This window comes from Homo sapiens, chromosome 4 (assembly GCF_000001405.40).
Source record: "Homo sapiens chromosome 4, GRCh38.p14 Primary Assembly".
NCBI classification, from domain to species: domain Eukaryota; kingdom Metazoa; phylum Chordata; class Mammalia; order Primates; family Hominidae; genus Homo; species Homo sapiens.
This window is the reverse complement of record NC_000004.12, coordinates 102435103-102451511: the sequence shown is the minus strand read 5'-3', so window position 1 is coordinate 102451511 and position 16409 is coordinate 102435103. Positions and strand designations below refer to the sequence as shown.

General features: G+C 38.9%; 1 long non-coding RNA gene across 1 annotated transcript in view, besides 1 other annotated feature; it reads left to right on the top strand.

Moving 5' to 3' along the window:
- Positions 1–16409, top strand: part of NFKB1-AS1 (NFKB1 antisense RNA 1) — an 83885-nt gene that overhangs the window by 50975 nt on the left and 16501 nt on the right. The window contains exon 2 of the long non-coding RNA NR_136202.1: positions 1445–1581. This is a non-coding gene — a long non-coding RNA (NFKB1 antisense RNA 1). The remainder of the gene's footprint in view (positions 1–1444; positions 1582–16409) is intronic.
- Positions 3961–4040: an enhancer, noted in NCBI's record as "active region_21752". NCBI's record gives its function as "activates an Ori minimal core promoter by ATAC-STARR-seq in GM12878 lymphoblastoid cells {active_cell/tissue: GM12878}" and the evidence as "EXISTENCE:reporter gene assay evidence [ECO:0000049][PMID:35858748]".

The window sequence follows — 16409 nt, the reverse complement described above, 5'->3', positions numbered from 1 at the left end:
AAACCCTTAGCAAATATAATGATGTGTGAAGGAAATTGTTTATAGAGACAGTTCTGGAACTACACTTTAGTCATATGCCTCTCAGTTAAAATCCAGGCTCTCCTTTGTCTTTCTCACTCTGTTCTTTGAAGATGCAGATAAGTTCTGTATATTCCCACTACTGAAGATTTTTTTTAAAAACTTTTATTTTAGGTTCAGGGGTACATGTGCAAGTTTCTTTTATAGATAAATTATGTGTCACAGGAGTTTGGTGTACAGATTATTTCATCACCCAGGTAATAAACATAGTACCTGATCCTTACCCTCCTCCCATCCTCCACCCTCAAGTAGGCCCCAGTGTCTATTGTTCCTTTCTTTGTGTCTATATTTAATCAACACTTAATTCCCACTTATAAGTGAGAACATGTGGTATTTGGTTTTCTGTTCCTGTGTTAGTTTGCTTAGGATACTGGCTTCCAGCTCCATCTAAGTTGCTGCAAAGGACATGGTCACGTTCTTTTTTATGGCTCTATAGTACTCCATAGTGTATATGTAGTACATTTTCTTTATGCAATCCACCGTTGATGGGCACTTAGGTTGATTCCATGTTTTTGCCCTTGTGAATAGTGCTATGAAGAACATATGCGTGCATGTGTCTTCATGGTAGAACAATTTATTTAACATATTCCTTTGGGTATATACTCAATAATGGGATTGCTGGGTCGAATGGCAATTCTGTTTTAAGTTATTTGAGAAATCGTCAAACTGCTTTCCACAATGTCCAAACTAATTTACATTCCCACCAAGAGTGTATAAACATTCCCTTTTCCCTGCAACCTCACTAGCATCTGTTATTTTTTGACTTTTTATCAATAGCCATTCTGACTGGTGTGTGATGGTATCTCATTGTGGTTTTGATTTGCATTTCTGTAATGATAAGTGATGTTGAGCATTTTTTCATATCCTTGTTGATCACAAGTATGTCTTTCGAAGTGTCTGTTCATGTCCTTTACCCACGTTTTAAAATGGAGTTGTTTGGTTTTTTTGCTTAAATTCCTTATAGATTCTGGATATTAGACCTTTTTCAGATGCATAGTTTGCAAATATTTTATCCCATTCCGTAGGTTGTCTGTTTATTCTGTTGATAGTTTCTTTTGCTGTTCAGAAGCACTTTATTTTAATTAGGTCCCATTTGTCAATTTTTGTTTTTGTTGCAATTGCTTTGGCGTCTTCATCATGAAATCTTTGCCGGATCCTATATCCGGAATAGTATTTCCTAGGTTATCTTCCAGGGTTTTTGTAGTTTTAGGTTTTTTAAGTCTTTAAATCCACCTTGAGTTAATTTTTGTATATGGCTACCCAAGATTTTAAGATTTAATAGAACACCAATGACACCAGATTTATTTTGCTTTCAAGTATAATATTGTGTTATAATATTGTCCCAATGCCTTTTTAATCCGAACAGACTCCTGCCACCTTATGCTTGTCACCAACCCTTCTCCTCCAAATCTGATACACCAGACTTTCTGAGAACCTGTGCTTTAATGAGTAAACTCACACAGCTGCAACAAATGCTGCCACCTCCTGGCATCTTTTAAAAAGGTAAAATCTGGTAAGCAAAGACTTGGTTCAGATGCTCTTTGTGAATATACATGGCCCTTCATGTACTTATTCTCCCTTCTTGCTGAGAGTTATCCATTTTTGGGGAAGCAAAATAATCTTGAGTAGGTCATCTGTTCTCTTAGTATGTCTAACCTGTTAGGATTTTGAAACTTTCTGGTGATTCTGTTTTGCCATTTAATATGCAGCAGGGCGGTAGTTCATGCTCATGAGGAAAAAAAAAGATGAACTCTTTGATGAGTATAAGTTTTTCTACTATCTGTACTATACATACAAATTTGAGGCAGAAGCCATGACATTCACCTGGAGAACTTGGCCACACTAAGCCAAAATTAAATGAAACATTTCTTGCCACTTTCCTATTTGCTTTAATTTTAATTGAAATGACCCAGTAACATTTGCAATAAGGTAGCTAGCTGCTGGTAAACTATGCCATGCATATGAAAACCTTTAAAATTTTATTACTAGTTCATATAAAATAGAGCAATGCTAATTCACTGGATTAAATTGCCAATTATTTTTAAAGTGTAAACAGGCCAGGCGCGGTGGCTCACGCCTGTAATCCCAGCACTTTGGGAGGCCAAGGCAGGTGGATCACGAGGTCAGGAGTTCAAGACCAGCCTGGCCAAGATGGCGAAACCCTGTCTCTACTAAAAATACAAAAATTAGCCGGGCGCGGTGGCAGGTGCCTGTAATCCCAGCTACTTGGGAGGCTGAAGCAGGAGAATTACTTGAACCTGGGCGGTGGAGGTTGCAGTGAGCCGAGATTACACCACTACACTCCAGCCTGGGCAGTAGAGTGAGATTTCATCTAAAAAAAAAAAAGTGTAAACAATCTGAATTGAGGCATTCTTAAAAATGTTACATCAAGAAAAACTTAACACGAGAAGCATGATTGATACATTTTGAATTGTGAATGACAAAAGTTCTTGTAAGCCCTGTGCTTATTACTTGCTTGAAAGAACAGTCGAAAGTAGATTGATCAAGGGTAGTTTTTTTTTTTTTTTTTTTTTTTTTTTTTTAAGACAGGGTCTCACTCTGTCATCCAGGCTGGAGTGCAGTGGCGCAATCTCAGCTCACTGCAACCTCCACCTTCTGGGCTCCAGTGATCCTCCCACCTCAGCCTCTTGAGTAGCTGGGACCACGGGAGCATGGCACCATGCCTGGCTAATTTTTGTATTTTTTTGTAGATATGGGGTTTTACCATGTTGTCCAGGCTGGACTCGAACTCCTTAGCTCAAGCGATCTGCTTACCTCAGCCTCCCAAGTGTACTTTTTGCTTTAGTTACTGTTGAATGTTTAGTACCCGCCATAAGGCCTAGCATATAGTAAGCTCAATGATGTTGATTGAATGAACAATTAATTCCTAACTCTTCTTCACATTAATTTATGAAATGGTGTTTAAACTTAACAGTGGATATAACCTTTACAATAAGCAAATGTGTTTTTGCTGGTCAAAGTGTGGTTCAGGGGTCAGCAGCATTGGCATCACCAAGGAGCTTGTGAGATTTACTGAATCTCAGGCTCTACCCCAGAAGTACTGAATCAGAATCTGCATTTTAATAAGATCCCCAGGTGATTCATATGCACGTTAGAGTCTCGGAAGCATGGCTTTAAAGGACATAAGCTGCCATTGTTATTTCCATTTTCCATGTAGCTATAGAATTTATTGTCCCATAGATTTCTGTTTTCCTAAATAAAATTATTCTGTGACCAGACTTCTCACTACTTTCTGACTGAGTCTATGCAAAATAAATTTTTCACATCTTTGTTTCCTTCTTTCTTTTCTAAGGTTGCTCAGGCTTAGAAACTGTGTGAATTCCTACTCCTGAGCTGTGAATCAGGGGGCTTTTTTTTTTTTGGAGACGGAGTTTTTGCTCTTGTTGCACAGGGTGGAGTGCAATGGTGTGGTCTCAGCTCACTGCAACCTCCGCCTCCTGGGTTCAAACAACTCTCCTGTCTCAGCCTCCTGAGTAGCTGGGATTACAGGCGCCTGCCACCACACCTGGCTAATTTTTTGTGTTTTTAGTAGAGATGGGGTTTCATCATGTTGGCCAGGCTGGACTTGAACTCCTGACCTCAGGTGATCCACCCGCTTCGGCCTCACAAATGGCATGGTGGCTCACGCCTGTAATCAGAGGGCTTTTTATAAAGGAAACTCCCTTCTAGGGGTCCTTGATTAAAAACTTTTTAAATGATTGAACCAGTGGTTGGCTATGAAGACATTGCTGCTTATACAGTTTTCTTCTTTAAAAGTGTGTTTGTCGCGGTGCAGACTCAGCACTTAAGGGAAGACTTCCTGCCACAAAATATTTGTAACTGCTCCTGAAAGAGAAAGCAATTATCACAGTTCAGTTAGGTCTTAAAACAAAACAAAAACAAACGTTTTACTGAGATCACCCATGTGTAAATTTATGAAGGGGTTGGATCACTTGTTAATTTTATTTTTATCTGCTTTTCACTTAATTGTTGTTAACTCAACAGCATATTTTTTATTAGAACATTTTGGCTATTTTTAACGTGCCGAAAGTTATTAAGATTTTTAGTACAGAAAAGCACTTACTGTGGTTGTTAATTATTCTACTCATCGTAATGAGATGCTTACCTAAAGTAGGTATCTTCAAAGTCAACTCTCGCATCCAAAGCACTGGGCTTGTGCAGCGTGTGTACCAGCTGCGGGGGAACTGCAGGTATGCCTGGGATCAGATGATTCTTTGCCTGAGGAGAGGTCCATATATAGGCCTTGAGGCTAATGGCAAGAGAAAGAAAATGCATTTGGAAAAAATAAACTGCCACCACAGGTGCAAGCCTCCATCTTGATACTTTTCACTCTTTGTAGAAATTGTTTGCTAGAAGGTTGTAAAAAGTCACGGAAAAAGCCTGGGAGTTTGGACTCAGACAGATTCAGGTTCTGTGACATCATGAGTACTCTCAGAACGCCATTCTTTTTTTTTTTTTTTTTTTTTTTTTTTTAGTAGTAAGAGTTTTGAGCCTTGGTATATTTATTATCTTGTGGTTATTATTTTGTGGTATATTTATTTACTGGTTTATTATTTTCTTTTCTTATGAAAATATAACTAGTGAGGACAAGTGACTTTTTGGTTTATATGCCTGTGTCTAGCATACTGCCTTGCATGTACTAAGTGGTCACTGTAGATGACTGCATAAATGAACTGGTGTTTAGGTGTGTACTAATAGTTCAGGCACTACATGTTAATTCATTCTCATGGTATCCTTGTAATGTAACAATAATTAACACTTACTGTTACAGACAATGTTCTAGATTCTCAGTGCTTTACATTTATTAACTCATCTGATGGTTTTAACAACCATTTGATGCTTGAAAGTAGGTATTAGTGTTATAATTTTCATTTGCTGATGAGGAAACTGAGGAACAAAAAGGTGAAGTAAGTTGCCCAAGTTAACACCCATAGACAAGTAAGCTAGATTTTGAACCAGGTGGTTTGGCTTCAATATCTATGTCCTTAACCACCCATATAGAGTGGTTCATCAGTGTTCCCTTTTGTGGGTAAGGAAGTCAAGGTTTAAATAATTCTCCATAATCACACTTTTGAAAGTTGGCAAAGCAGGGAACTGGGCCTGGGATACCCATGTACAGGCTAGAGTTCTTTCCATGATATCACAGTTCTAGACATTTCATTATGATCCTGGAGACATAGATTTCCAAGGAGAGACAATGTGTGTCTCCATTGCCAAAAAGGTCAAGAACACTCATCATGAGAGGTATAGTAAAAACAAAATAAAATTTCCCTATACTTCAGCAAGGACCTTTTACATATAAGCCAGTAATATTCTTTGTAGTTCCGGTCAACACATCTTAAAAAAAATGTGTAAAGATGTTAGGGAAAGTCTAACAATTACATGGAAAAAGGACAGCAGAGCTGCTGTGTAAGGGCATATTAGCAAATGAGTGAGCTTCAACTTAGGAAGACAAGGACTGACAATAAATTTGAACTTGCCTGACATCTAAGAATGACAAAGTATATTACTGGCTTTTAAAGTAACCCCAAAGAACCAATGAAGCGTAAAATATTTAAGTTTTTAGAGTTTGGGATAAATACAAAGTTTTAGAGGTTGGATTGTGAGCTAATGGAAGTTCCTAGAGCAGTTGGAATGAATTTATGAATGTGTTTTTAAGGTTTTAGATAAGTAAATGGAAACATCACTAATGTGTCATTGCGGAAAATTTGGCTTTATTGTTTGTTTCTTAATTTTTTTACAAAAATTATTATGTTTTTTATAGAGATGGGGGTCTCACTATATTGCCCAGGCTGGTCTTGAACTTCTGAGCTCAAGGGATCCTCCCACCTTGGCCTCCTGAAGAGCTGGAATTACAAGCCTGAGCCACTATGCCCGGCCTATTGTTTCTTTCTTGTCCTTGAGATAGACATCTAAGAACTTGGTGTCTGGAATCAAAGGGTCTGAGTTTGAAACTTAGCTCTGCCCCTTACTTGTTATGTGACCTTGAGCAAAGTTTTTAACTTCTTGGTTCCTCAGTTTCTTCATCTGTACAATGGGATACTGATGATGCTCACTTCGTAGGTTTAGAGAGAATTAATTGAGTTAATTTTAAATGAAATTTAATTACATTTTAAGCACATGAAAATGCTTAAAACAGAGACCAGCATATTGCCAGGGCTCAATAAAGGTTGGCTGTTATAATTAGCTATTGTGACTGCACAGGATGGATGGCATGAACTGCCTGCCCTTTGTCCAAGTTAGTAGTTCTCTGTTTTAGGAAAATAATGCAGAGGTATTTCAGTGAAAGAACAGGGAAATATTGTTCTCCATACCATGGGCACTTCACTGTGGAATCCTCTAGTGATAGTGTTCGAGTTATCTGTGTGGGGTAAACTGCGTTGTTATAACTGTTTCCAATTGTTTGCATTTTCTAAGAGAAAACTGGAAAACGTTGCATCTGGCAAAGATAGTGAGAGCTATCTTATTAAACCTGCGTCTGCTGTGCTGCTTCAAGTGATTATATATAAGGCACATGGGAAGGAAGCTGAATGAAGAAAATGACTAGATAAATACCTAGTAAATGGTTCAAAGGCTGGGCAGAAAAATAAACTGTGACTGAGGAGTTACCTTGCTCCTGATTGGGTCAGTTAGAAAAAAACAAACATGCAGACTATTAATATCAGGAAATTGATTCTCTTGCATGTAGCAGTGGTCTAGATTTTACTGGAACAAATGGTTAGAAAGTGGAAACCATTTCATATAAGATAAACTCCAGAGTGTACTTCAGACAACAAAGAGAACAAGAATGCCTGACCTCTGTTACAGAAGCTGCAACTCCAAAATAACTTCAAAAGCACTGTAAGTTTAATGAGGAAAACATCCAATTTTGTTCATAAAACAAAAAAATTGGATGATTGTGCTTACACCTTTTCTTTTCTGAATGGCTGAAGAATTCTGTATACTTACATATATTATGAATTGATCAAAAAAGGCTGTGAAAAATTGGACAAACTCATACTGTCACGTATTTGTACTGCAAATAGGCTCAATTCTTTCAAAAATCCATTGATACTGTGTAACAAAAATTATGAAAATGCTTCATACATGTTCACTGAATTGTATTACTAGACATTTGTTTTAATCAAAAAAATTTTTTTCTCTCTCAACGAAGACTCCCTCCTTGACCAAATTTTAGTTATGCTTTTGAGTCCTCTTCTCAACTAGCTCTGACCTTGGCTTCCTGTATGCGTGTCCTGTTCTTGCATAGCCCAGTTCAGTAAAAATCTGTGCCCTCCCCCTGTCCCACTCATATTGGGTCACCCTTGATATGTGACCAAGTTCATCCCCTACCTTTGATTTATAAGTCCTTGGCCCACCTTTAGCAAGAATCCTGTTAGGTCAGTTTAGTAAGAATCCTCCTACCTTGATGTCTCCTCTTAGTAATTTTCCATCCACTGATCCCCTCACTCTGTTCCTTGGCTATAAATAGTCTTGAATAAAGTCTTCCTTACTGGCTTAATGAGTGCCAGAATAATTACACACACACACAAACACACGATTATATAATTCTCTTTCTCTGATATATATACATATATTGGAGAGAGAACTAAAAGTGCAGTCTAAATATTTAGTAGGAGGAGATTGACTAAATGAATTAAAAATTACAATCTCTGAAATAGTATGCTGGCATTAATAGTCATCGACAATAGTATGCTGGCATTAATAGTCATCAACTTTCATAGAATGCCATTCTCCATACTGTACTAAGTGCTTTACGTGCTGGGCCTCCGAAGGAACTGAAAGCTACCAGGAACCTAAAGCAGCAGTGCTCTCCATCTCATGTTGTGCTTCATTCTTCCCTTCAGCAGTGGCTTCCTCTGCTCCTCAGATCTCATGGCAGATAACATGGCAGCTGCAAATTTTTATTGAGGAGTAGACTCTTCTCCTTTTCTCTCCAGAAGGAAGCAGTATTGAAGGTGTAAGAGCCAAGGTAAAACTCTTCCTTTGCCCTCTGAAGGTTTGCTGAACAATCGACTGACGAAAGGCAGATTAATAGGAGAAATGGCATCCAAATTTATTAGTGTGCACAGGAGAAAAACCACAGAGTGATTACCCAGTATCCCAATGGGTAACTGGGGAAGGGAAATGGAAAAGTGTGGATGATTTTTGGAGGGTAGTAACTGATTTTCAGGGGAATTCAATGGGCTTAGAGAACATATAATGGCCTGGGACAAAATCTATTGGGCCTGAAGAGCCTACGATGGTTTGTGACAAAATTCTGTCCAGGTTTGTTGACAGACTTCAGCTTTTCTTCCTGTGTATTAGTTCGGTTAATAAAAATTCAAAGAAGAAAACAGTGGTCATTGTTTCCTTTATTGCCAGGTCTAGACTTCAGGCAGACAAGGGATCTTCAGAGAACAACTTCACCTTGTGCTTTGAGAGAGACAGGATTGAGCGAAAGGAGGTAGGGGGAAGGTCAAATAAACCTTAAGGCTGCTTCTTCAGTTCAGCATATCGAAGTGCCATGTTTTGGTTTCTGAACCCCAACAGAGGAAGCAATTCCATCCTTCTTCCTATTCCTGTGGCATGTTCCTCCTCATAGGAGGAGGACTGGTTTGTGTTACTAGTGACATCAAGCAATACACTGAGGTTTGCTAAGCAGTGGTGAGGTCATGGCTTCAGATTGTGGGTGGCACAGTCCCATGTCTCTCCTGTCTTTTGTTAATTCGTGGACCTGTGTTGTCACTTGTCCTTTGTCTCCTGGTACTAACTAGACCAGACCAAAGATGGTCTCTGGCAAGCTCAGTTTAGTTTCTAAGCCCAATAATAGGTTACTAGATCAATTGGAACCTGCCCTGTGGGCCCAGAGAAAATTATTTCATAAGAAGAATTCGTTTCAGGCGAGGTCTTCATTTCAGGAGAGACCTCAGCCCAAAGTTGTGTGCCCCAACAGGAGTTAACAAAGCTCTTAGTTTGGAGATTATTTGATTTTGCCTGACCCGTATTGCTTCATCTGTACTTTGCTCTGTAAACAGAACAAAGGCACTCATCCTTTCTCAGGTGTTAGAATACTACAAAGGGAAGAAGGCAGTGGTGTGCTAGCAAATTGGCTGTCTGGGTGGAAAAAGACTGGATTTGTAACAGTTGCTGATTTTTCTAATGTAGGTACTTTCACCGTGGTCTATTTCCAACTCCCAATGGTTTGACAACTGCTTATGGATGAAGTTCCTCAGTTCTGACCATCAGCTCACTGAATGTGCTCCAGTAAAGTTGCAAAGCGAGTCATTAAGCTTCGTCCACCACAGTGAGAACAACTTTTCCTCAGTCCATTTCCCATCAACCCCTGGGGAAATTTCTGAGTTGCCCACCTTGTCTGTTAGGCTTCTTTCCCTAGTTTTATCAGGTATGACCAGGGGACCATGACTACATTGTAGACGCATGGTTGTTGGGAGTCTGCAATAATAGATCGGGGCAAATTTAGGGGTTAATGTGTGCTGGAATAACATCCCAGTCATAGGTTGGGTCTCTCCAAAGCAGAGCCTGAGACAAAGACTTATGTACCGGAAGTTTACTTAGAAATATGATTCTGGAAAGCAGAAGTGCAGAACCAAGAGGAAAGGAAAGACAAAATAAAGATGCATTATTAACTTCTACAAATCTGACCCTTCTGTCAATGTGAGTTACTAAAAGAGTAATCTCCTCAAATAATACATAGTAAGAAATGAGCTGGGAGTTGCCAGTCTTCACTGGAGCTTGAGAACAAATCCAATGCAGATGAAGGTAGACCTAAGATAGGTGCACAAACCAATCCCGGTGACGTCACTTGAATCTCTGGATTGAGATACGCTGTATGTACCATTCCCCCTTCTCCAATTTTGTCATGTGAACCAGTTCATTTCTTTGTTGTTTAAGCCAGTTTGAATCATGTTTTCTGTCATTTGCAACCAAAGAGTTCCAACTGCTATACTTCCACAATAAAAAGCTCACATTTTATTCTGTTTGTCAGTATCTTCTCCAATAGATTGCCACCTCCTTGAGTTAAGGGCCTATGCATCTTATTTAACTTGTATCCCCAGCATCTAACAGAGCACCTGGCATGTAGTAGATGCTCAATGCATGTTGGATTGAAGGAATATGTTACATTAATTTGACATCTGTAATACTGATCATTTCTAGTCTCATCAATGCTTTCTTAAAGAATGTAAGTGGGTTAAACTTTTCTTGTGCAGGGAAGAAAAGAAGATACAAATTTGCAAGAAAATGTGATAAAATGCATTTACTCAGGGGAAAAAAAAGAGACTGGTTATGTGAAAGAGTTAACATTGCAAACATAATGTATCTCCTTAGACCATTTTTTCCTTGTTGACTGTAATACAACTAAAATGTTAATAAAGGTATAGTTATAATTCACTCATTTACTGTACCTAATATATAATGAAATTTTTTCTCTGATTTTTTTTATTCCTAAGGGAAGAATCTCTATATAAAATGAAGATCTAGCAAGGAGAAAATGTCATGATGTTGATAATCTTATTTAGCCTAAAAGAGTTACCATGAATTATGAGCTTATTGATTAGAAACTCACAAAATAAAAGCTTATTTATAACCTACTTCATACTTTTATATTAAGACTACACTACTTCTTCCCCTTAATTGAAATCCTTTCAGAGTAAGAACTGGAAAGTTCAGAAAGTCGATAATTTAATCTAACTATCCATCATTCTATCTGCATTTTTTGCACATAGTTTGCTGAATGGAGCACTTAAAGCAAACTTAGCATAACATCTTTAAACTATACATAATCTTCCAAATTGAGTTGTGAAGCCATTATCTGGGATTCCTACCATATAACTTTACTATTGGTAAGAAACTCATGGAAGTTGCAAGTGCTATTCAAATATATTTCTCTAGAACCCAACATTTAGAAAAACAGTACGCAGATTTAAAAAGAATAATATTATCATTAATAATACAAATGTTAAAATCTTAATATTTGGGGGTCTACAGTAAGTTTTAAGCAAGCTACAAACTCTATTTCCCTTCAGAACCCCAAATCCTGTTATTCTCACTAAGCCAAAAACATTAGCAGCTAATAGATTTCAACCCCTAAGTAACCCCCTGCCTTAGACTAATGGCAAGATTTCCAAAAAAATTTTTTTGTAGTCAAAATTCCAGATTCTGAATCAATAGAAAAGAAAAAAAATTTCATCCTCCTTGCTTTTTAGTAGGATCCAGAAATCAGAAACAAACTAAGTGTGATAGAGCAGTTCATGCTTCTTTCTTACCAGATAAAGGACTGACATGTCAACATTGGCTTCCTCCAGGCTTGACAATGCCTGGGTTTCTCTGGGTGTATGTGTGGCTGTATCTGTGTGTGTGTACAGACTATTCTGAAGGCTGAGCAGATGATTTGCAGATGTATTCCAGACATGCACAAGGTTGGAATGCATCAGTCATGACTCTGCATTTCTATAATGTTTGTTTTTATTTGTAAATGTTCACTCTATATTTTCCTCTTCCATGAACCTCTCTGAAATAAAGTTTTTCTTGATTAATTTCCTTTAAAATCATTTGTGTTAATTAGGGAAATTATTAAAATCTGAAAAAGACCTAATGCTATGATTTTGTAATGTGAATTTGAGGTTAGAACATTTTAAATTAATGAATCTCTGGTAAAGATGAAATATTTGACCTCTTCTGTAATTAATAAAATTTCGTTGCAGGATTAGGTAGATATCTGGTCAGATAGAGAAAAGACGACTTTAAAATCTAACATCTTCTCTTGATTTATGAAGAACCCTTCCTTATTTGTTTTCTTCCTCCCTCCCTTCGACCCTTCCTTCCTTTCTGTCTCCTACCCTTCCTTTTCTGCCTCTCCACTTTCATCTCCCCCTCCCTCCTTACCCTCTTTGTCTGTGTCTTTTTTCTTTTTTTAAAAAGATGATCTCAGTTTGGAATAAACATTCTTGCGAAATTAGCCAGGAATTTTGCCAAGCTTAGTGTGTACACGTCAGCTGTTTTCTGGAAAATAATTGCACCATGTGACAATGTCTATTATTTTAATTGGTACTGAGGAATGCCTCCAAGATATTTCATCAGGTCAGTATTTCTTACACAGGCAATGGCTTTTTATTTCCTGATGTGCTGATTAAGCAGATAAATAACAGTTTGACATGCTGTATAGGTGAACAAAATAATTGCTATAATTAATAAGCCAGAACTCAAAGAAGTAGTAAACCATTCTTCCTGTATACAAAAGGCTTTAGGACCTGCAGCCTGAGGAAGTTGAAGTATTCAAATTACCCAAAGGAAATGTTAACCCAACTCTACAAGCATGGGAAGACCACTCTCTGGGAAGGCCCTGATGTGTCTGGGGAGCTCAAAGTGCTTTGTCATACAGTCTCTAAGCTTTAGCTAGTCATCTGGGGTCTGTTGCATTTCCAGAATACTTGCATATGTTTGCATACTAAATTCAAGAGGTATTAATTTCAAGAGCTGAAAAAAAGAGTCACTTTGTAAAACTGTATGGAGAATACATGTTCAGAAATTCGTGAATCTGAAAACAAAAATGTGTTTAATAGTGATAGAGGTGGTGGGGTGGGGAACAGAAGGATTATTTCCTCTTTCCACAGCTGTTCCCCAACATTACTGCAGGGTGAACTAAAGATTAGAATAAGAAGTGTTCCTCTGAAAAGGAAAATATTTAATAATTATTATGCTGTGTCACACTGTAACAATGGGATTTGGGGATATAACAAAATACACATTTGTATACTGTTTTTGTCTGTCTTCTGTGTGAGTAAAGGTGGTTAGTCAGTTTTATTGTGAGACTTTGTAGAGACTGGGAGGCCACACCCCTGTGGGTAGACATCATCTCTGGTCAAGGGAGTGCTAATCCCTGAGGTCAGCCACTCGGAGAAGAGGAGATTCTTAGCTGGGAACTGGACTAACAATGGTTGGAAGAAGAAATTCCCCTCTTCGAACTCGACTAACATGGGTGGGAAAAAGAAATTTTCCTGTTCTTCTGGGTCTTAATCTCTTAGTCTAAAAAATTCAGAGATACTGTGTTTGTACTTAGGAGAGGTGGTGTGTTAGGCCATTTTTGTGTTGCTATAAATACCCGAGACTGGGTCATTTATAAAGAAAAGAGGTTTAATTGGCTCTTGGTTCTGCAGGCTGTACAAGCATGGCACCAGCATCTTGGCTGGGCTTCTCAGGGGCCTCAGGGAGCTTTGCAAGCACATCACATGGCGAGAGTGGGAGCAAGGTGCGGGGAGGTGCCCTACAATTTTAAATAACCAGATCTCGTAAGAACTTACTCATTATCACAAAGTCGACACCAAGACATGATGGATCTGCCCCCATGACCTGAGCACCTCCCAGCCGGCCCCACCTCCAACCTTGGTGATTACATTTCAACATGAGATTTGGGGAGGACAAATATCCAAATCATATCTGGTGAGTTCTACGATAGTGCCTGTCACTTACTTGGATCCTAGAGCCTTGATTCAGCCAGGCTTCAAGCCGTGCACATCATAATGTGTGAGCTATATTATCTATGTAAAGAATGACATTGCTCAGTTTACACTCAGTATTTTTAAATGTCACATTTCCCTACTATTTGTCTGGTTCATCCCTCCATTCCTTAGCACGGACAAGAAGTTCAACATATATATGTTTAAAAGACACGGTCTTGATCTGTCACCCAGGCTGGAATGCAGTGGCACAATCACTGCTCATTGCAGCCTCGACCTCCTGGACTCAAGCGATCCTCCCACCTCAGTTTCCTGAGTAGCTGGGACCACAGTTGTGTGTCACCGCTCCTGGCTAATTTTCTTGTATTTCTTGTAGAGACGAGGTTTCACCATGTTTCCCAGGCTGGTCTCAAACTCTTGAGCTCAAGCAATCCACATGCCTCAGCCTCCCAGAGGGCTGGGATTACAGGCGTGAGCTACCGCCCCCAGCAGAAATTCAATATTAATATAATAAGTTGTCAGGGGACACCCTCTTCCCTTTGGATTGCATGAGAAACCTAGGCCTCACTCACCCAGAAAAATGGGGGGAAGCTCCCACGCAGTCTGTATTGTTGCTATCAGTTTTTATTGCCCAGGATAGTCCTGCAGTCCAGGCAAAGAGAGGAGGTATTGTCTGTGACTTCCTCTCTTGTGGTAAAGCCAGGCACAGAGATTTCTGCTGAGGCTCCCAGGCCCACTACCAGGGCCAAAGCTCCCATGATGCATTCTATATATGATGTTCTGCCATATCTAGGGGCCTATATTTGGGTCTTTTCTTTCCAGCTTTGTTGAGTTATAATTGACAAATAAAAATCACATAGACTTAGGGTATACAATATGATGTTTTAATACACTTATATATTGTGAAATGGTTAACCACAATCAAGATAATTAGCATATTCATCACCTCACATAGTGACCATTTTGTGTTTGTGTGCGTGTGCGTGTGTGTGGTGAGAACACTTAAGATCTCCTCTTTTGGCAAATTTCAAGTATACAGTACATTAAGTATAGTCACCATGCTGTACATTAGATTTTCAGAATTTATTCATCCTACATATCTGAAACCTTGTACCCTTTGGCCAACATCTTCCCCTTTCGCCCATCCCCCAGTCCCCGGCAACCACCTCTCTATTCTCTACTTCCATGAAATCAACTTGTTTATATTCCACATATGAGTATGATCATGTAGCATTTGTCTTTATGTGTCTGGCATATTTCACTTAGCATAATGTTTGCCAGGTTCATCCTCGTTGTTGCAAAAGGCAGAATTTCCCTCATTTTTAATGGCTGAATAGTATTCCATTGTGTATAATACCACATTTTCTTTATCCATTTATGGGCACTTAGGTTGATTCTATATCTTAGCTATTGTGAATAATGTTGCAATATCATATGTGTGCAGATGTCTCCTTGAGATACTGATTTCATTTCCAGTGGATATATACCCAGAAGTGGGATTACTGGATCATATGGTAGTCCTATTTTTAGTTTTTTGAGGAAACTCCATACTGTTTTTTGTAATAGCTGTACCATTTTACATTCCTATCAATGGTGTGCAAAAGTTCCATTTTTTCTAAATCCACCAAAATTTATCTTTAGACTTTTCAATAATAGCCTTTTTTTTGTTTTTTTTTCTTTGTTTTTTTTTGTTTTGTTTTTGTTTGAGACAGAGTCTCGCTCTGTCACCCAGGCTGGAGTGCAATGGCGTGATCTTGGCTCACTGCAACCTCTGCCTCCCAGGTTCAAGCAATTCTCCTGCCTCAGCCTCCCGAGTAGCTGGGATTACAGGCACCCACCACCATGCCCAGCTAATTTTTGTATTTTTAGTAGAGATGGGGTTTCACCATGTTGGCCAGGATGGTCTTGATCTCCTGAACTTGTGATCCACCTGCCTCGGCCTCCCAAGTGCTGGTATTACAGGTGTGAGCCACTGCGCCCGGCCTATAATGGCCATTTTAGCAGTTGTGAGGTGTTATCTCATTATGCATTTGGTTTATATTCCTTTGATGATTAGTAATGCTGAGCATTTTTTTCATATACCTGTTGGCCATTTATACTTCTTTGAGAACTGTTTATTCAAGTCCTTTGCCCATTTTCATATTGGGGTTTTTTGTTTTTACTGTTGAGTTGTTTGAGTTTCTTACATATTTTGGATATTAAGCCCTTATCAGATGTATGATTTTCATTTATTTTCTCCCATTCCATACATTATCTCTTCACTCTGTTGTTTCTTTTGCTGTGCAGAGCTTTTTAATTTAATCCAACCCCACTTGTCTATTTATGCTTTTGTTGCCCATGCTTTTTTTTTTGAAGGAGTTTTTGCTCCTTGTTGCCCAGGCTGGAGTGCAATGGCATGGTCTTGGCTCACTGCAACCTCTGCCTCTTGGGTTCAAGCAATTCTCCTGCCTCAGCCTCCTGAGTAGCTGGGATTACAGACACCCGCCACCACACCTGGCTAATCTTTATATTTTTAGTAGAGATGGGGTTTCACCATGTTGGCCAGGCTGGTCTCAAACTCCTGACCTCAGGTGATCCACCCACCTGGGCCTCCCAAAGTGCTGGGATTACAGGCATGAGCCACCATGCCCGGCCTTTGTTGACCATGCTTTTGAGGTCGTATAGTAAAAACAAAATCATTGTCCAGAGCAATGTCAAGAAGCTTTCCCCTGTTTTCTTCTAGCAGTTTTATAGCTTCAAATCTTTAATCCATTTTGAGTTGATTTTTGTATATAGTGTGAGATAAGGGTACAATTTTATTTTTCTGCATGTAGATATCCAGTTTTCCTGACATCATTTATTAAAGAGACTATT